At 37.4% G+C, this 22,883-nt stretch overlaps 1 protein-coding gene across 3 annotated transcripts in view; it reads left to right on the top strand.

Annotated features, from left to right (window-relative positions):
* Window positions 1-22,883, top strand: part of ANGPT1 (angiopoietin 1) — a 248,437-nt gene that overhangs the window by 137,185 nt on the left and 88,369 nt on the right. For all 3 annotated transcript variants that reach the window (NM_001199859.3, NM_001146.5, XM_047421699.1), the window contains exon 2: window positions 13,637-13,792. In NM_001199859.3, the coding sequence (NP_001186788.1) occupies window positions 13,637-13,792 (156 nt within the window). The remainder of the gene's footprint in view (window positions 1-13,636; window positions 13,793-22,883) is intronic.

Genomic DNA, 22,883 nt, shown 5'->3' with positions numbered 1-22,883 from the left:
AGGTGCCTTCATTTCCCGCTTAATGATGGCAACTCAAATGCCATTAGGATCTGGGCAACTGACCTTAATAGCTAAAAGGGCCAGAAGTTTTATATCCAAGAGAGGTATGGGCTGTGGATAACTAGAGATTACATACTCTTGTTAAAGGCTTGAAACCATATTTTAAAAATAATGTGCTAGTCAAACAAAACACTTTGGCTGTTTGAACTTGGGCAGCAAAGGGCCTGTTTGTAATTCTTGCCCTAACCAAGAACATGGGGCTGAATAAAGCGGAAAGAGAGTGACCCGGGCATCAAAGAGACTTGAGTCTGAATATCGACTGCAATATTTGGGCTCTGTAGTCCTGATCATGTTACTGAACTTCTCATCACTTCTGCCACCTCATTGGTCTGAGATGGTAACCATACCTATTTCAAAGGGCTGCTGTGAGAAATAATTAAAGGAAGAACCTCAAGACCTTACCTCATTGGCTGATCCACAAGAAGTATTCAAAAAACAAAGACGATTGTTACAGGCTTTGCACACAGCACTTTCCCCTTGGTAAAGACCTACTTGCGGCTGTTTTGGCTCTTTTGTTTATTTCTTCTTATTTGTTTGTTTTCTTGACTTCTTATGAAACCAGAGAATTAGGGGTGGCAGGTAGGGAGTAAGACTAGACGAGGAAAACTGGCTGAGCCAGTGGGGAATGTCTATGGAGGGCAGCAGAGTTTTCCAGAATTTCTCCAACCAGGCCACCACTAAACTTTGCCAGATGTTTGTAAGTTTCCTACTAAGAATGAATGCATTCCAAGCACATTTCTTTCTTTCTCTAGTTCTTTATTTTATTTCTGGGTATAAAATTGAATTCTCATTTTCTAAAGAAAGGAGAAAACCAACCAAACCATTTCAAGAAGAAAATAAAATTCACCTGTATTCCCGTCAGCCAGAGATCGTCACTATTAACAGTTCAGTGTTTCTTTTCTTTTTCAAATGCATACAAATTTGTGTCTGAATATACTTACCATAATTGAGAACATGCTAAATATATCATTTTGTGTACTGTGTATTATGCTGAACAGAAATGGTTTTTGTTTGTTTGTAAGCCATGGAAAGCTAGTATACTGAAGCCACTTTGCACTTTAAAATCAAGACTATCTTGTCTATTCAATGGAATGCTGCTAGGAAGTTGGGGGAGCTGTCTTTATAATTGTGGTAATGGTTATTTTAAACTCAATGTAGTAATTTATGTTTGAGAATAACTATAGAATCAATTTTTAGTTCTGGTAACATGTTTCCTTTCTTTCTCAACCCCCTAATTGCTCTCTCTGGGAAATAACTATTTGCCAAATATAAAAATTATTCATTCAGATTCTTGAGATATAGTATTTAAATAGGGGAAGATTCATTACACAGCTTTCCTTCACATCCTTAGAGAAGAGACCCTGGGGGCTTTGTGAGAGTCTGAGAAACAATTTGTTCCTTCTTGTGTCTGAGCTAGAACTCAGGGTAACAGGAATCTGAAAGACATTGTACTCCTCTCTTCGGAGTAAGTCAGGCGTTGGGATATGAGAATGTTTTATTAGCAGTTAGAATTACTAAGTCTAACTCAGTCCTGTAATTACAGTAAAACAATACTGTTAATATATCTAAGTCTCAAAAACATAATATTGATTTAAAAATAAGAGAATGAAGAAATCATGCAATAAGGTAACATTTTTGTACATCATGAAAGTGTACCAGACAGTATATTATTTTGAATATAAACCTATGGAGAAAAAGCCCACATCAACTTCAGAATAAAGGTTATATTCTGATTGTGGGACCTTGATTTTATATGTAGTAATTTATTTCTTACTAAAAATGAAAACATCCAAAATAAATATGTCAAAGTGTGATGTCTGTTAAGTAGGTATGGCAGCTTTCTGGTCTCTATTATCCACATTTCATGATCATAAGAACCCAGGATTTAGACTTTCCAATAAATTAGCCCAGGCTTCTTTCAGTTAATGAATATATAAAGTATCCAGTTCTCCCAGCTTGTTGGGGATGGGGACTAAATCAGGAGGAACACCGGGAGGTGATCTACAGCTGCCAAAACTAGATTAATGAGTCTTTAAAACTGACTTTTACAAAATTCCTCTGGCAATATGTGTAGTCACAAGAGCAGGTATTTTTGCAGTTACTCATGCTTCGTTTCATTCTCTTGTGGTGTATGGTTAATTCTCAGAGAAGCCAGTTCATTGTAATGCTAATTTGGTCTCTCATCCAATAGCACTTGGGATGTAACAAGCATCACCAGGGCACCAAAATGGCCTTTGTGAAAGATGAAACAATGCCCACTGTCTCTAGTCCTTTGATCAAAGGGAGAAAAAAAAAAATAGGGATTTTATTGCATTTATAAGATGTCAGCAATCATTATTCCTTTCTTATGCTTTGAATGACTTTTTCTGTCCTAATAATTCTTCCAGTACTTGGACCAAGGGTAATTTAAATAAGAACTACTCAACAAATATTATTCAGAAAAAAATTAGTTGGACCTCACACATAATGCTTTGGAATGTTTATTATACAATGACATTGACAGTTTTATGCCTGTACAAACTTACTATATGTTCCATTGAGTAATCTCATATTGTGGGAGAAAACACACGCATACACATATATATGCACACACTTTTATCATTTATTTTACTTTATTTAAGCAGATGAAAGAAAATTAATTTTAAAAACCCATAAACAAGATATTTCAGAAGAGAAAGACAACCAACAAAGCAACTTCATTGTAAGCAAGAAAAGATGTAGCATAAATGAAAAGGTAATAACAGCCTAAAAAGTCAGAGTGTTGAACAGTGAAGGATTTTATTGAAAGAGATTTGATTTTAAGTGTTAATACCTTCCAATTTCATACAAAATACCAGAGTAAAATGATGACAATTTTCTACCTAGTCATGGTATTCCTGAAAAATCGACAAATCCCTTAATTGTTAAGGCTTTCAAACTTCTGTTCTTGAGTATCTTATATCATCTGCTGGGTATTTAAATTTCATGATCTGTCCTGTAATGTTTCATTGAATGCAGAAGATTTCTTTTAAAAGATCATCATTATAAGCTATGTGTTTGCATCGCTGCCATTTGTCAGAGGAGAAGTAAGTGTGGTTTGCAGAAAATGTTTCTTAGAAGAATTATCTGGTGGAGAGCCTTTTACCCCATCAATCCCCCCAATCTACTAGCTGCTGGGGTGGTCTGTAGTTCAAATGTCAAATCTTTCTCTTTTTAAGTGAAACAGAATGTATTTTGTGTAGCATGCAGGGGGTTAAATTGCATTTCAGATAAGCAAGAAACTAAAAAGCATTACAGTAAAGGGAGACATGTTTGCAATTTTGTTTGAAACAGTATCTTGTTTAGTTAAAAAAAGATCCCTTTTATTGTTATAAAAACAATGCATACCAAGTTGCTTTTTAATTCTTCCATTCTTCTGTCATCTAAGTATAATTTTAGAATTTGGGAAAAAGATTTCTGTGTTGTTAGGCAGAATACTGGAGCTGTCCATGACAGATTAATGGGCATTTTCTGAAGTGATTAAATTTTACATCAAATACACCTCATTCAAAGGTGAGTGATGCGTTGGCTATTTTAAATGGATCTTTAAGAAAATAAACTGCAATGAAATGAACATAACTACAAAGCATGAATGTAGAACTGGACACATGTAGGTTGGGAATAGGGAAATATATGTGTGTACAAGAGCATAATTGTGCAAATGTATTTGTGTGTATGTTTGTATATACGTACATACAACATATGTTCTTATATATGTTATTAAATGGGTAAATCTTATGCTTACTATGTCTGAAAATATGGTAAAGTGCACAGAAATTATCTGTCTTTGCCTTCTACCTGAATCCCATATTAAAACTCTGATGCTGTGCCCTTGCCGCATGTGTGTGGTATGGCATTAATGGTATGCTGTTGCTTCTGACTGATTTATTTCTTGATTTCCCAAGAAGCACATTTCAGGAGGTAAGCAGGAGAGTCATCTTGCCTAAGCAAGCACAGCTCCTTGCATGCTCTCAAAGTCTTCCCAGAGTCCTTTCTTATCCCCTAGCCCTCAATTTTTCCAGGCTGTATTTTTTCAGATATAAGCTCTAACTCTGTTGCCTAGGCTGGAATGCAGTGTCATTGCCATAAGGCTATTTTTTTTTATATTAAAGGAGACAAAAGAAATGTATGCCCTCCCTTCTATATTCCTTTGGGACTGCCTCTGGAAAGACTTATTAGATTCTCTCGTTGAGAGGATTTGTTCCTTTCTTTATTCTACCCATCAGGCAGGCAGGAAGGCAAGCAGGACATTGATACCTTCAGTCCAGCATTTGTAGCATGCTTATGTTATAAGCAGTCTCAATGAACAGCATTAAGTTTTACTTCTTTTGCTTTTATGTATGAAGCAATGATTAAGACATGGTTAGTTTTCAATGTGTTTCATGGATTTTACTTGATTTAAACAATGACTCATAGTCGAGATGTTTGGGAATAGCAAAGTAGAAAGACATAGTAAGACAAGATGGGTTTATGTGGTCCACAAAGTGAGGATATTTGTTTTCAGAGCTATGTACATCATTAATGCTGGTTCCTTTGCCATTCAAAAGGGGATCATTGATAATTGCTAATATGATATTTCTTACTTAGAGAAACAAATGGAACTAAGCTAAGCTCACAATGGGAGACTCAGTATTTTCATACACAAATTCATTTATGCATTAAATTATTTATCAAAATGGTATTGAGACCCCACTATGTGCCAGGCAGTGAAAGGAAGTGGTACCAAGTTGAACCAGGTAGTGCTTGTGCTTAAGGAACTTATACTGGGATGGTGAGCAAAGCTATTATGAAAAACAGAGGCACAGTGTGCTCCAGAAGTAGAAAGGAAGGGTGGTGAATAAGGCTATTATGAAAAACAGAGGTACAGGTGCTCTAGAAATAGAAAAGAAGGGTATTACAGAGAGAAGATTGATGAGAGGCTTCCTAGAGGAGGAAAAGCTTGAACTGAGTTTTGAAAAATAGGACCTAGCCCAAGAAAAGGGAGAATAAATGTGAAAAGAAGCATTCCAGTTGGAGCAAAGTCATATGCAAAGACATGAGTCAAAAAGAGTGTTTGCTTAGTGAAATGAAAATACTGTGGTCATTTGGTATGTCTGGAGCATAAAGTACATGTAGGGTGGGAGGGTCGGGGTCCAGATTGTTAAGAATCATCTATGACGAATACAGTGTTGTGACATTATCTGCAGGTAGTAGAAGCTACTGAAAGAGTTTGAACAGTGACATGACAAAGCCAAATCTGTGCTTTAGATTGATCCCACTGGCTATGGCATGGATGATGGATTGGAGGAGGCAAGTCTGGAGTCAGGAGACCAGTTATGGGGCCATTAACAAATCCAGAAGAAAACTGATGAGAGTCTGACCTTAGTCAGTGACTGTGAGAATAAAGTGATATTGGTAGGGAGAGAGGGAAGCGGGAGAGGGATGGACCTAGGCAGCCTTCAAGAGACAGCAGAGGGCGAGGCACAGTGGCTCACGCCTATAATCCCAGCACTTTGAGAGGCTCAGGTGGGTAGATCACCTGAGGTCAGGACTTCGAGACCAGCCTGGCCAACATGGCAAAACCCTGTCTCTACTAAAAAAACAAAAATTAGCTAGGCGTGGTGGCATGTGCCTGGATACTTGGGAGGCCGAGGCAGGAAACCACTTGAACCCGAGAGGCGAAGGTTGCAGCGAGCTGAGATTGCCCCACTGCACTCCAGCCTGGGTGACAGAGACTCCCTCTCAAAAAAAAAAAAAAAAGCAACACCATCTGGTGTGGATTTAATGTAGAAAAAGAAGGAAAAGACTAATCAAGGTGATTCTCTGTGGCTTGGATGAACAGATAGGTGGTAATGGTGCCGTTCACTGTGATAAAAATTAAAGACAGAAAGCCAAGTCGTGTTGGAGAAAGACAAGGAATATATTTGGGACAGAATGGTGCCTGGGGATTAAGCGATTCAGAGATTCTAGCTCTTTATCTTAAAACAGATGTGCCTGCTATGGAGACATGATCCAGTCCAGGGCTTTGCTATTGTTTCTAGTATCATTGTTTCTTTACTGCCATTAAGGATATGTATGTTATATTTTATAGATATATACATTCAGATTTCAATTTTCTATAATAAATTAATATTCAAACCTTATAGACTCTTGTACTTTATAAAGGAAGTTTTAAATCAAGGAGTTTGAGAGCTTCATGAGTCATTAGAAATGATCGAATCCAGCCCTTTATTTCATAGATGAAGAACTTAAACCCAAAGTGTTTAAGTGATTTCTCCAAATTCATGGAGTATATCAATGATAGTACCTGGATTAAAATCCAGATATCCTGACTCCTGGCTGAATGTGCTTTCTATATGCCATGTGCCTTTTAAAAAAAGGTAAAGGAAAAAATTAAGCAGACGTGCAAATATGCTTGAGGTTCCATGACTCTGACATTTTACTAGTGTGAGAAGGTAGGTGTAGAAGAGAGGTGCCAGGTTAGTAAAATGTGTTTTGGCACAGGAGACATTCGCTTATGCAAAGAGAGAATGACTTTCCTGGGTCCTGGCCCAACTCTAGGGGCAATGTAAATGACTTTGGCAACTTTCAGCAGCCACAAGAATGTGGTCCCACAAGAATCATTACCAAAAAAAGCAATGGCAGGAGAATTTGTTCCTATGGGATTTTCTGGGTTGCCCTTGATAGCTTCTATATATGCCTCAGTGGGATGTTGCTACTATTCCTTTGGAGGCTGAGTAACAAACATCCACTCACATTATTAGTATCAGTATCTGAGAGCATCTCCCTATCAAGCAGAAAGAATATTTACAGAAAGAAACATAGTCAGAGGCAGACCCCATTCACCAATTCTATTGAAATGACTCATTCACGTGTTTCTATTTCCTGCTAGACTCAACTCTTTGTACCTGTAGCATTTGGCACCAGGCTTAGTACACAGCACACACTTACCACATATATGCTAAGACTAAACTGAACTGACACAGGGGGTGATAAGCCTGAACTAATTTTAGAATTTGGTTCTGTTTTTTGCCATGTGTGAGGTGATGCATCTGAAGAAAAAAAATCAAGGGGTTGCTGAGGCTCAATGACCAGGGGGCAGCTGATGGGTATCAATGGTAGGAAGCAAGAACAGAGTCCAGCAAAGAAAGTCAAGACCCCTGAAATGGATGGAGCATGAGTTGGCGAAAGGGGAGATCCAAATCAGGAATCAGCAAAGGCAAAGCAAGTAGCAGGAACCAGGGAATTGGGAAAGAAATGTGGGGTGGGTCTAAGGTACCGACAGCCATTGTTGTTGGCTCAGCCTAGTGATGTGAGCCTGGGTTTCCCACACACAGAGGGGCCATGACCTGACATCTGACATTGATTAGCTGTTTCACCTTGCTTTCTATAACCTCTCTGAACCTCAGTCACCACATCTATAAAACAAGATCCTTGGAGCTCATAATATTTAATGTCTCTTTCAGCTCTCTTGTACTAATGGTTTTCTTTCTTCCATAAATAGTAAATATTCTTTCAGATATCAAAATGAGAAATGGGATCCATGGCATGTATATCCACACAGAAACCATTTTAAATGTTAGCTAAATAGATCTATTGTCTAAAAAGACAATTATATTTCTCCATTTCATAAAAGAAATAGTATATTGGGAGATCTAATAATAGAAATCCCTGAAAATAATATATTTGGCTTCAGCTGTCTTTTTTTTTAATAAGGCCATAAACCTAGATATAGTTGCATTTTAAATATTGCCATTGATTTATGGAACAATGAGATTAGATAAAACCATCAACATTTAAGGCATTTTTTGCATTGTTTTACCTTTTTATTGCTTTCCCATATTTACCCTTTTGCTTTATTTCATGGTTGTTTTGTCATAACTGAGTAATGCCATATGCACCAACATCCAATGAAGGTCCATTTAATCTGCACCATATTTTAAGTGAACAATGCCTTTGTCAATTTTTATAGGGTTTAAAATGTTACTTTCTTAAGAATTACATGGAGAAATTGTATTATTTGTGCTTTAAGATATGCTCTGGTTTAAGAGACCCCTTGAAGTGGTTTCTTCAAGTGAAATGATACAGAATGCATTTCACATACAAGACATGTCATAATCTCACACAGATTTTGGTTCTCATGAAACTGAAGCCCGCAAGGGTTTTGAGAGTCTAGTAAAAGCTCTCCCAAAATTCTCTCTCATGATGGAGAATGATAGCATCAGTTCTCCCCTGGTCATTGGGCAAAAGACAGGGGCATGTGATTTATGATAGAACTACAAATGGCTGATTATATTACCTTCTTAAAAATATGTTTTCTTTGCCTACTTAATACTAAGACTTTTCATACAGTTGACTGGATATTTGCCTTCTCACCATGGGTAACATTTCCTAAGATATTACAGCCATCAATCAATATGCAAATGTATAAATTAAAAAATGGTCAATCTTTGAACAAGTTTCACCTCATCATTTCTGTAGCTTTCATTTTTACATATTTTGTGCATGAATATTGTATGTTATCAGAATTTGTTTTTAACATTGGTAACAATATGCTTGTGTTTGATGAGTGACATTCCTTCAGAATGGAGCACAAGCTACTGGTCAATCTAGCCTCAAAGCAACATACCAGCTCTGCCAAAAACCCACTGTATGATCTTAGACAGTTTACTTAACTTCCCTGAGCCTCTGTTTAGACATCAGTGAAATAAGGAAAATAATACTTACAGTACCTGGATTGTTCTAAAGATTCAATGAACTGCGTATTTGTAAAAGCTGGTACATATCTAGCCTTTGTAGAGGCTTTGTGTATTATTGTTATTCCCTTTGTTGTATTTTACAATGGTTGGCAAGAAAATAGAATGAGCAGACAAAATAAACTTATGTTACTAAGAAAAAAAGGTAAGAACTAATGAGAGGACTTTAATGATTCCATTCTATTAAAAGTACTGGCAAATAAACTTTCCACATACCTGGCCCTAGGGCTTCTCATCCCACCTCAAATTAACTTGGTCTCCACTATAGTGAAACCAAGTGAAAGTAATCCCCCTCTAGTGATGCATGTTTTTCTCAAAGGAATAAATATTATAAATATTATAATATATTGTGTATGTTATAATATATTATAATAATGAATATGCAATAGCTGACTAAAATTGAAATTATCAGTCAACTAATCATCCAGCCAACCAGTCCAATAACAGAACACTTCCCGCAACTCTGAGGCTAGTAGAACATCAGAAGATAGAGTTGAGATTTTTCTTTGATGTCTGGCTTTTCTTTGATTTCTATGAAGTCACTGAAGGCCTCGGATTTCTAACTATAAAATGGAATCAGTTCTCTCCTTGCAAGTTTGGTATAAGGATGAAGTCAGACAATGTGTACAAAAGCTATGCAAATATTAAATCACTTAACAAATGCAACTTTTTTTTGCTTGAAAGTAATCATTTATTGTTTGTCATTTCATTTCAAATCACATTCTCTTCCTAGCATTTTGGTCAATAACTTATAAAACTCTGGCATGGCAGTATAGTCAAATAATTTTATTATTCAGGTTGAGAGACTCCTACATTATAACTCATTAGCTCTTGTGGTCAGCAACTTCTAGGCTTAAAATTCACATCTTAGATGTTTATAAAATATTGAACCTTGAGGTGGCTGTCATTTTCTGTAAACATATTTTAAAACCAGTAGGGAATATATGAAGACAATCAAATTTGTTACAAATCTTTTCTGAACCTGGCTGCTATGGCACATCAAGATGGATTTCACAGTTATACATCTACAGAGGAATGTTTAGAGATAAGATGAAAGCAGTCCTCCTTATTAATCACACATTGTATATTTGACTTCTGCCTCCTGCTCCAGCCTTTAAATCAACTACATCTGGTTCTTGCTACTTAAGTGTGGCATTAGATTTTGCATTAAAAGGCAGTTACTCCTGGAGAAAGCAGCCCCATTTGATTAAAAAATAATTAACTAGAGCTATATTCATGCTACTCATCATAGCAGCCTAAATGAGCATTTTAGTGTAGGTTGGAGACTTACTTTATATCTACAACAGGGTCAGCAGAACTGAGAGGCACTTTATGGTTGTGATGAATGCTAGCATGAAATAGTTATTTTGCTTTGCTGGTGTTAACTTTTATAATTAAAAAAAGCACAATAGTACAGAATGGTCAACAGCTGATACAAAGACACTGAACCTTGATGTAGCCACCTATGCTGAGGGTGTCCTCCCTGTGAAGACTAGGGTACATGATTGTTATTACACCTGGAGCAAATCAAACTCTGGGAACAGACTACTGCTAACCAACTGCATAAGAAATTGATGTACAATTATCAAGCAGATCTTGTATTGGAGCTCACTGATTAGTGAACTCTCTCAGGAGGAAAATTTGCATAGAAAGACAGATTTCTTGATAAGCAGGGAATCTGATATTTCAAAGTAAATTTGATGGTTTAAATGAGTATTACTCAATGACATTGCTGTCATTTAGGAAACATGGTAAGAAGTTTGCACCAGAATATAAACTAGAGCATCACTTTCTTCAATGAGAAAGTTTTGCATGTGTGTTTGTATATATATACATCAAGTGAATGAACTAAACAGTGTGCTTAGTGACCTAGATAATTTACATCCTGGTGCAAACTCCTCATTTCATGGCTGACTGTTCACAAGCAGGTCTCATACAGGCAGTTGTTCTATGGACCACACTTTGAGATGCACTGATTCTTTACCTGAATAAGAATTACACTGGGAAGCTTTATAAAATATACAGTTTCCCAGTACATGCCCTTAAAGATTTCTGGTGTGTTTTACCTCCATCTGCATTTTAAAATTCTCCCCATGTAGTTTTGATGAACACTCAAGCTTTAAGAGCTATATAATAAAATGCATAGCATAACAAATCAGTGCTAGGCTAAATAGGTTAGAGGTTAACAACATGGGTTTTGGAGCTGTGGGTTGAATCCTTGTTTGTTCTTGAGCAAGTTGTTTGGGGGTTTCTGAGCCTCAATAGTCTCATCTATAAAGCAGCTATAACATATATAATTGTGAAGTTTAAGTGTGATTATAAAAGGAAAACACGTAGCTCTGTGCCTGTTGCATAGTAGGCAATGATAACTGTCAGCTATAAATGATAGCTATTATCTTTATAATGGAGACTTATCTGTAATTTTTTAAGAAACTTACACTCATGTATAACCTCAAATTCCCTGGAAAAGTAAGGAATATTCTCTTAACGTTTTCCTCCCTGAAATTTCTTCTGCTAAACATTGATCAAAAGTAACAATCCAAAATCTTGGTTGTAAGTGTTAAAAATCTAAATCAATGTGATTGAAGGGGAAAAAAGGTTGGCTGCTCAATGGGAGACTGTTAGATCATGCAACTTACAACTGAATGTCCAAGGGTGGAACTAGCTAAAAATATAGCTAGGTCCAGGTGCTCAAAAGGAATCACCTGACTCTGTGTCTATCTATGCATCCAAGTGTCTATGTATGTACATAGATCTATCTATCTATCTATCTATCTATCTATCTATCTATCTATCTAATCTCCTTATCTAACATCTGTCTGAGTCAGCTTCATTTTTGGGCTGACTCTGGTTTTGTGGTGGCAAAATCGGGCATCAACTGTATTGGGCATATGTCACCAGCTTATTAACCACAGAGGAAAACAAAGTTATTTTATAAATGAGTTTGATAAAATTTGAGAACTGAGGCTAATGGCCTTGCTTGTGATGTCTTTCCATTCTTGAACAATTCACACCTATGAAGCAGGAGCAGAACATTCTGGCTTGACAAGTTAGAACCTGTACTCATTTGTGATGCTAGGCTGGGACAACTCTACCTGAAGCATTTGTTCCGAAGGGCAAAACGATAACTTCCCAAAAGAAAGTTAAAGAATGCTATTAGGAAAAAGGGAACATAGGATGTGGAATCCAAAATGACAAATTTTTATTACTCTGTCCTACCCTCTTTTTCTCTACCTGCCTCTTGTTGTTTAAATATGTTAGTTCAATTGGAATAAAGTCAAGATTTGGCCTACAGGCCTTACATTTTGATAATTTTCAGAGATTTATTATAATATATTTTGTATTTGTTTTATAATAAACTTTTATAGGTTGAATTTTTTTCCCTCCTATGTCTAATTTGGGGGAAAAATGAATGAAGGGGAATTATCTTATATTGGCCAAGAATGAATTTAGAATGTATTAATAATAATAAGAGTTTGATTGAAAACCATTTTTGTTAGCATGGGACAGATTTGTTCTTGATAAATAGAAATAAGCAAGGGATGATGTTAGCAAGTGAGCTGCCAAAGCTTTACAAAGGGGAATTTACATTTAGACTATATTTATTACATGATAATAATTTTACTATGGATTATGAAATAGTGGATGTATTATGGTTCACTAAATCAGTAAAAATCACATAGCTGTTAATGATTTGGAACCCGGCTTGTGAAGCACGACTTGTCATAGCTATCAAGTGGTTGAAAGTGTTGGTATGAGAGTTAAGGACTTCAGTGCTCAAGTCCAAGTCTGGCTGATTTTGTGGTGTGTGGCCTTGGACCTGATTTCTCTGGGATGCAATTTCCCTATATGTGTAGTAGAGTAATAAAATGTAGTCACCACACAGTGGTGGAGGAATTAAATGCACTGACAGGGAGGTGCAGGTTTCCTTGTATTTTTCAAACAATGCATATGTTCAGCTTTATTTTCCCAGGTACCTAATAGGACCCCTTGCAGTAAGTCACTTAATGATTCTCCATGGTCCCTATGGCACCATTTATTTTAGCACTATACTGTTCTCTAAGATGGCACCATAAAGGACTAAATATTACCCAAAGCAAGAGGAGTAAATACTGCTATATGGGTTGTACTTTCAGTACCTATTTTTGAGCTTGCAAAGGAGCATGGAGAATGATTACAGCTAGCTCTCAGGCTTTGCAGCTCATTTCATATATCATTGCCTATATTTTAATATTCCTTTAAAGGTTTTTGTTTTGGACATCATCCTTCCTCCCACTCCTCATCCCATTTCCCCAAAGCAGTGTGATATTTTATTTATCGTTACAAAAATGGAAGCAGGAGGCTGAATTTTTCTGAGATAAGTGGTCAGTATGGTGTAACGGAAAAATCAGAGCACCAAGAATTAGATTTAAATTAGTATGTGAATTTGGCTGCATTCTTGCTGGTCAACCTTGGGTTTATCACTGGCCTCTCTGATTCTATTTTTTCATCTATAAAATAAACAAAACAATAAAGCTGACTGTGATACATCTTTGCTATAAAGGCTAAATGGATAATGTCAACAATGGGAAAGTGTGATCCAAGTGCAAATTGTCATTATGATTGTGATGATTATAAATATATGTATCAGTATATTAGGAATTTGTTGACAACTGGATTCCTGTGTGCTCTGCTCCCATTTCTCCAACTCCCAGAGATGTAGAGGATCCCCGCCAGATGGCTGATTTGCCAGCGGTGTCTTGTTTTGTTATTGTAAATATTACATGCCCGAACTGGGAGGCCTTGCTTATAATGTAATATGTTTTGTTCTTTATCTCTTGCAGCTTGAGAATTACATTGTGGAAAACATGAAGTCGGAGATGGCCCAGATACAGCAGAATGCAGTTCAGAACCACACGGCTACCATGCTGGAGATAGGAACCAGCCTCCTCTCTCAGACTGCAGAGCAGACCAGAAAGCTGACAGATGTTGAGACCCAGGTACACCCCAGGGCCAGAGTCCACAGACTCAACAAGGAAAAATTTTTTTTTTCTTTAGCTTTCTCCATAAACACAGAGCACATTTCAGCACTGTGATTAGGGAAACATACATTTTTGTTTATTGGTAATAACAACAATGACTGCCTGACATGCTATGCGTGTTTTTTTTGATCTAATGAGGGTTGGTATATTTAGCTTTGCATATGTTTGCCAAAACAGAGCTAGCAAAGGACCTCATCAATGTTTAAATTCAAATAAGCACTGCAGCTACCAACTGTGATATGATATGTGTCAAACAAAGTAACCATTTGAGTCAGATTGGTGTCTTTGTTGTGCATTTTTGACCTGTTTTGTTTTGTCTCTGGTAATGCTGCAGCCATAAGGGCACCTGCAGACGGTTTGTGCATTCAGCAGATAGAAAGGACAATCTCAAATGAAGTTATGAGGAATATGTGTGTATATACATATATCTACCTATTAGGGCCAATGATGTACTTATTTGAGTACCAACGAGTAAAAACTAGGGATATCCTTTGATCACCATTGTCACAAACACCCCATCATAGTTTACTGGCAAATAGCAAATATCATTTTTGATGACTATCATTTTGATGACTGTCATTTTTAATTGTCTCTTGGTTCCCTTTTAGCCATGAAAATCATTATTCCAGTTACCATTCTGAAACCCAAGGGATGATTCTATCCCAATGTAGTTGATTTCTGACATGAAAGCTGAAATATATATGTTCAAAAATAAGGTGCAACATGATTTCTATTTTCTTTCATTTGCGATACTGGCATCACAGGTAGATTGGTATTTAAAGAAAAATAGCAATGATGACTGATACAGATAAAACCTATATAACATAACTTCCCGTGCACACATGGTTTTTATGAAAATCACTTAGAGCAGATAGATAGATCTTTTAGCTAGAAATCACTAGCTTGAGTGATTTCTCACATTCATGCAGCTAGTTTATAAAATCTGGGATTCAAACTCTGGGGTACTCATTTCTTTTCTATCTCCCTTGATTAGTAACACTAATAATTAACTAATTGAATAAGAACTTAAGTATTGATTACATTGGGGCAGTGATTCACATTAGCTTTGGAAAATACTTTTTGCTGCCCATCAACATCAGATGAACATGGGAGATGGACGGAACTACATATTGTCCCTGAAAATTACAAGACTTTATCTAATCATTCATTGTCACAGTAAGTTTGATAATATATGCACATTGGTTTCTTGTGGTATAAATAATGTGACTGTATTATTTATTTTATTTTATTAGAACAGAATGCTCACCCTCTCCTACAAAATACTCTCACATGTTCAAAAACAAATACACAATATATCCTACTTAATTGCATATTTGAAATTTGTATAAGTTTCTATTACAATAACTTTTCTGGAACACATGGCAGAGTCTTGTTTAATTTTTTTATCCCCTAAAACACTGTGTCTTGGGTTGTTTTTTAATCTCTGTCTACCTAGCAGTTGGAGTTGTGGGAAAAAAAAATGTCCCATTGTTAGCACGTTAATCTCCAAACTGTTAAGATGCGTGCTATGTAAGGTATTGAGAGATAAATTGTTCTGCATCCTTAAGGCCAGAAGATGTGTACTTTATTGAAAATGGTACAGAAAATTCAATGAAAAAGAATAACTACTCCTTATACGAAGCAGCCAAAACTTACTATCAAAGACCAATGAAAGTTTATTAGATACAGTGAGAACAATTTTAAGATAGCTGAAACCCAGAAAACATTTCAAAAATCACAAATCCATCACAAGTAGCAATGAGAGGGAAGTAGAAAAGGATGACAATGGCTCAAATTATGCCCTACCTTAAGAAGTGACGCCTATGTGTTTTTTTCACTTTCATTTTCATGTCTTCCAATTGCTTATGCTATTTGTAGCTGTGATGCTTCGAACCTGTTATATGTAAATGTATACCCTCGTGCTACTTATTTGAACTATTGCAACAGGACATGTTCTGCTTAGACATAATCACTCAAGTGAACTCAAATCCTGATTCAGAGCCAAGTTTACAAAAGTAATCCTGAATTATTCCTTAACCTCCATACACTCTATTCATTTATAATAAGCATTTATAAAACCAGTAGATCCTTCTGTGCTATCCAGGCATGCTCTCATGGTTTTCCTCCTATATTCATCTAACTTGGCTTCACAGTGGTAAGTGTTGCTTTTCCTAAAACTGACTTCAGGTCCTCAGTTTATTTCAGGAACTCATGACAATGTCTTTCCAATATATTTTAATGCACTAGCTTTCACATGATGATGTTATGAAATAATTAACTTATTGCTTTCTAATCTTCTGCTGACCTTCTAGATTTATGACTTAACAAAATGCAGAAAGCCACAGGTTCATGCCAATGGCATTTTAAGATCCTCTTGTGCTCAAAAAAGTGTCATGATCAGGAAAGATACCAGTAATGACCACATCTGAATAACTCTGCTGGCCATGGTGGCAAGAATCAGAAACCACCACCATGCCTTTTCCTTCCCCCTTAGTCTGGCTTGCAGTGTTTTTCTCACTCTGTTATCAGTTTGTACCAATATCTCTTGGCCTTCAAGTTCCTCTTTCCAAGAGTACAATATGAAGGGGTTTGTAGGAGGAATTATTCATGTCACTTCCTATAGTGTCATTCTATTTCTCACTTCTTTCTCAGGCAAATTTGGTTTTTGGGGAAACTAACAGACAAACAAATTGCCTTAAAATTTGCCTCTAATAATCCATGCTTGCCTCAGTTCTAAGTAATTTTACATATATTGGCTATTTAATAATAATAATGAATTCTATAAGGTAGATGATATACCATCCTATGTTTATTTCCTTATCTTTTATTATTATGTTTTGAGATAGGGTCTCACTCTGTCACCCAGGCTGGAGTGCAGTGGCTGATCAGGGCTCACTGCAGCCTCAACCTTCTGGTCTCAGGTGATCCTCCCACTCCAGCCTCATGAGCAGCTGGGACTACAGGTGTGTGCCACCATGCTCAGCTAACTTCCTTATTTTTTGTAGAGACCAGGTCTTGCTATGTTGCCCAGGCTGGTCTCGACCTCCTAGGTTGAAGCAATTCACCTGCCTTGGCCTCCCAAAGTGCTTGGATTACAGACATGAGCAACCACTCCTGCCTTTGGGTACTTCCTTGATGTAAGATGTTTTAATAGGTCCTATTAGAATGCAACAAATAAAGCAGTCTTTACCTTCATGAGTTTGAGTTAATGTGGCAAAATGCTTCTAAGTCATTTCTTTCTTAACTTTCAGTCAAATTAATGATCTGTGGAGCCCTTCCTCATGGCCTTAAAGATGTACCTTTCCAATCTCCTACTTGCGGAAGTATAATTGACCAGTGCTCACCAATGGCTGTGCTCTGAAATCCATTGCTGTGTTGGTCCAGAGACCACAATTTCCAGCAGTCACTTCCACTCATTGTGGCAGGGATATGTAGGCCTGCTCCTGGGAGCTGTAGAAGTCCACTGACACATGACTTTGGCTAGGGGCTCTTCATCAGCCTTGCTGGAACTGTTGCACGGCTGCCTTGAGGGATAAGACTTCCACCCAACTCTTCTTCCTTCCCTCTCCTCTTTCCTGTAATTAGACCATCCCGGTCTGAAGCCTCTCCAAACCTCCTCTGGCTTCCTCCCAATTTTTCCTCGTGGGCATTTCCCCTAATATATTTCCTGCATGTTTAATCCCATTTAATCATCTTTTCAGACATCACAAATGATTACATCTGCCGTTTGGACCTCAATAGCACTCATTAGAAATATAAGGCAAGCCAGGTAGAGTGGCCCGCACCTAAAATCTCAGCACTTTAGGGAAGAGCCAGGTGGAAAAATGACTTGAGCCCAGGAGTTTGACACCAGCCTGGGCAAAATAGCAAGATCCTATCTCTACAAAAAAAAAAAAAAAAGCCAGGCATGGTAATGCGTGCCTGTAGCCTAGTTACTCACGGAGCTAAGGCTGGAGGATCCCTTGAACCTAGGAAGTTCAAGGTTACAATGAGCTGTGATCACACCACTGCACTCCAGCATGGTTGACAGAGCAAGACCCTATCTTTAAATATATATATATATACACTTGTGTGTGTGTGTGTGTGTGTGTGTGTGTGTGTGTGTGTGTGTGTGTGTATTAGGCAGTTCAGGAACAGTTTGTTCAATGAGCATGAATCTTTTAACTGAAATGATGAAACAAACTCTTTAGTGGGTCATCTAAGGAAAATATCCTGTAATTAGTTTTCTTACAAGGTTTAGGAAAATTGTTTGATAAGCCACTAGGATAGGGCTCAGCAGCCTATGGCCCACAGGTCAAATTTGACCAGCCATCTTGTTTTGTAGATAAAGTTTTATTGGACACAGCTGCACTCATTCATTTATATGTTGTCTATGGCTGCTATTTCACTAAAATGGTGGAGCTAAATTGTTACACAAGAGACCATTTGGCCCACCAAGCCTAAGATGTTTACTGTCTGGGCCTTTACAGAAAAATCTGACCAACTCCTGCACTAGGATATAAATTCCTAAGAAGCAGGGATGTTTCTGTCTTGTTCTTGTTCACTGCTCTATCGACAGGATTTAGAACAGGACTGGTGCATAGGCTCTCAATAAATACTTGTGAAATAATTACATTGACTAAGTTTTAGTCCCTTAATCTCTGCAGGTTTCAGCCCAATGTCACCAAGCCTGAGGGCAATATGCTGAGGCTTGTGTGTTGATTGTAATAGGTACCCACAAATAGCTGATGGGTCAGAAGAGGACTTTGAACAGAAGCAGTCTACTGCAAAGATGTCTGACCCAACTAAGAACACTGAGTGAATGTTTTTTTGGGTTTTTTTGTTTGTTTGTTTTTCTTTTCCGTACTCTGAGAAGCATAAGAAATTTGGACTCCTTCCTTACTCGTGATGCTAATTTAGGGGGCAGGGGCAGGGAGAGAGAGTTGGATGCCATCAGCTGCAACAAGCAGAGCACCTCATGGCGACTTGAAAGAAGCCATTTTGGTAGCAGTTGTTAGTGACTAGAGGGTGTCACTAACCAGAGGGAAGCTGCTTATTTACAGCTACTCGATAAGCCTGTGGGAAACAACCCAGACTCCGGAGATAGACTCTCTGGGTTGCATTCTGACTCTACTGAGCATTAGCTGTATTGGGAGAGTTATTTCTACCCACAGTTCTCTGTCTGTAATATAAGTCTTATCTCTATTAAATTCTGTAACCAAATGAAGTGGTTATTATATTATAAATATAATATAGGGTTATATTATTATGTTATAATATATACATATATAATGAGGGTATTACCATTATAAATAAAATATATTTATATATAAATAAATAGAGAATATTATGTAATAGTTATATAATATTAATTATATATTACATCACAACTAAGATGAACAATAATTCCATAAGATTATCTAATTTCTACATTCATATTTTCTCATTTTTCCACTAAAACTTTTATAGGAGTTTTGTTTTTCAAGATTTAATAGTCCATTTAAATTTGGAGCAGTCTTCTACTTTTTTTCCCTGATATTGACATTCTTAAGAAACTGGGCTGTTTTGTCAATCATTTCACGTTCTGCATTTGTCTGAATATTTCTTTATTATGACCTTTAGTTTACCCTTCAATCCCCTATGGTTTCTGTAAACTGGAAGTTGAGTCTAAAGACTGGTTTAGGTTGAATGGAATATTGTGGCAGAGGTGTTCTGTGGAATTACTGGTCACTTCCTATTGGATCTCTTCAGGAGACACATATGCCAGATTGCCACTCCCTTAGTTATGCTGTTCTTTAACTTGGTTAGGGTTATAACCTCCATATCACTGCATCTCGATAGTTCATTTTTCCCTAGGAAATTAACAGATAACCTGTAGGGTAATACTTGGTCACATTGTCCATTATTAACCAAGTAAATTACTTCAATCATTTTGCAAAATGCTGATTTTCTAACTCTCTCATTCCCTCTGCATGTATCAACCTTAATTCTTCTGTTAGAATTAATTGCCAAGGCATCATATTTTATGTTACAAATTTTTCTTTGGAAAAAAAAATAAAGCAAAAGGAAACATAACCCTAAAAACAGGGCCTATTTCAAAGTTAATGAGTCGTTGAAAGAGATTTTTGGCCAGGCACGCTGGCTCACACCTGTTATCCCAGCACGTTAGGAGGCTGAGGTGGGCAGATTGCTTGAACCCAGGAGTTTGAGACCAGCCTGGGCAACATGGCAGAGCCCTGTCTTTACAAAAAAAAAAAAAATACAAACAATTGCTGGGCACACCTCACCGGAGCCCAAGAGGCTGCAGTGACTGTGGTCATGCCACTGCATTCCAGCCTGGGTGACAGAGTGAGACTCTGTCTCTAAAAAAAAGAGATTTTCTTTCTACCTCAATCTCTGACTTTTAGCATTAATATTAATTTAAAGGATCAGAGGCACTCTTGAAAATATTAAAGGGAGCTGGGTGAAATTTTCCAGCTCACTTTCTCTTGGAAACTAATAATTTTCATTTTTAAATGTTTACTTTTTTAAAAAAAAGAACTAAAATTTTGTAGCCCGTAAATCCTCAATTTCAGGTTTTATGTCTCTCTTACTCTTAGGTATATTTTGGAAAATTTATTCTTTGAAATTGTTCCTTGAGGGGCATGTTTCACATACGCTTTACTCCTTTTCCTTCTTCTTATTTAAAAATTTTCTTTTTTTTTCCCCAAAGATGTGCTTTTGGAATGTGTTTAGGCTAAGAAGGAAATGTCTTTTGTCATTTTAATGGAACACTTCAACTATTGCTAAGCAGCGAATTCCATAGTCGCATGGCAAGAAAGTGGTCAATTTATCATAGTTTGCTATGCAATTCTCTTGGTTGCCCGCTTCAGACCTAGTTTAATACATCAGTGGAGAGAGTTGAAATAAAGCAGCAATGGGGTCAAGGTGATGGGGAAAGAAGAGGAGGGATTGGCATTTGTGCTCTAAACTGCCCTGATCTTTAGATCGGCATTTAGCCTGGACTTCTGATATTGGACTCCTTCCTTCTCCTATATTCAGATGCTGCTCTAGATTTAGACTGTCATCACTGACCTCTAACTTGATATTCATGTCGGCCCTGTTACCCTTTCTGTGACCATGACTCAAGCCTGAAAGACAGCTCACTGTCCATTGCCCAGAATGTCATCTAACTCAGCTATGAGCGCTGCAGTGTCCTAGGCCCCCAGGGGGTCTGGAGGCTTAGAGGACTCCAGATGAGCCTTCCTGCCTCTGTGCAGCTGACATTCTAGGAGGGGCAGAAAGACAGCAAATGAGTGAATAGATATGATAGTTTTCAATAGTGATAATTCTGTAAAGAAAATTAAATAAGGTGATGTGATGGAGGGTGAGGAAGGTATTACTATAAAGAAGGTGGCCAGAAAGGGACTCTCTAAGATGATGAGAAGAAATCAGCCATGCATCTAGGAAGGGGTGGGCATGCCAAGCAGAGGAAACTGCAAGTGCAAATCTTCCAAGATTGGAATGAATTTGGCTAGTCAATGTGGCAGAAAGAAGACTGTGTAGTTGGAGCATAATAAACAAGAAGTGAACAGGGTTCTGATCACGTGGGTCTTTTCAGACCAGGCTGAGGGCTTTGGAATTCATTCTAATTGCAAAGGGAAGCCATTAGCATGTTGCAAAGGAGATGGCATGATCTGATTTATGTGTTCAAAAAGATCCCTCTGGATGCTGTGTGACAAATAGACTTGAGGTAGGGCAAGTAGGAGAAGGAAGACAAACTGGGAACTGTAGTGGTCTCCAGACTGAGATATGGGCAGCTTTGTTTTCAATTTTAAATGGTTCCATTTTGTTCTCAATGGACATGGAGGAGAATACTTACTGTCTTTTGGAAATTAAAATTTTTGGTGTCTGAGAATGTCAGGAACTGTGATCAGAGAGTACGGCGAATAAGAAAGAAAATAGATTTCATTTAACTGCATATGATATGCTTGATTTAGTGAGACAATGTACCTCATAAGCAAATACTGAGTATCCATAAACAAATATTGAGTGTTGTCTCTGTGCCAAGCTTTGTTCTAAATGTCACCAAAACATACAAGTGTTTCATTCCCTATTTCATTATTTTATAAATTGTCACTCAATAAACAAATACAAATCTTACTTGGACAATAATATGTTTAATAGTTGAAAGTTATATCTTGTGCATCTCCAATATTTATATTCTCTACCATTTATCCCCACTGAGCTACTCCAAACTCTACCTTCAAATTGTTTGTTTTGAAATGAAATAATACAGAATAGAAAAAATGTTTTTTAAAACGCTGAAACCCTTTACAAACATGAATATGATTAGTAGTAGTACATTTTAGACGGGCTTTCAGATCCTTACTAATGACTGTATAAATGAGTCATAGCAGTTTAAACTTTTTTAGAGTATAAATGCTCCATCTCACCATTCTCTGCCCCATCCCCTCCTCACCCTCCTGTTCCACCCCTTGCGGGGCTAGGACTGTAGGGTGAGGCAAGTGAGACCACATCAGACCAAATCATACATGTGCAGAATCAGATCCTGTCTTTATTTTTAAATGATATTCTGTTAAATGTGGATTTCTTGAATTAATTGTAAAATTTTAAAAATGTTACATTAAAATATTACTTACCTTGATTACTGAGATTTCTGGCACCCCTTTAAGTTTTGCAACTGAGGCATTTGCCTCTCTCACCTCAGCCTAGTTCCTGCCTTGCTCCCTTCAAATACATCCCCTACTCCTGCAAATTCCTGTAGCCCAAGTCCAGCCCAGGGTCTATTGGTGTATTTTGTTTTTTATTTTATTTTATTTTTTGAGATAGGGTCTCACTCTGTCACCCAGGCTGTAGTGCAGTGGCATAATTATGGCTCACTGCAAACTCTGCCTGCCAGGCCCAAGTGATTCTCCTTCCTTAGCCTCCTGAGTAGCTGGGACTACAGGCACAAACCACCATGCCCAGTTAATTTTTGTATGTTTTTGTAGAGATGGGGTTTTGCCGTGTTACCCAGGCTGGCCTTGAACTCCTGAGCTCAAGCAAGCCACCTGCTACAGCCTCCCAA

Source organism: Homo sapiens, chromosome 8 (genome assembly GCF_000001405.40).
Source record: "Homo sapiens chromosome 8, GRCh38.p14 Primary Assembly".
NCBI lineage: Eukaryota > Metazoa > Chordata > Mammalia > Primates > Hominidae > Homo > Homo sapiens.
This window is presented reverse-complemented; position numbering and strand designations above follow the sequence as displayed.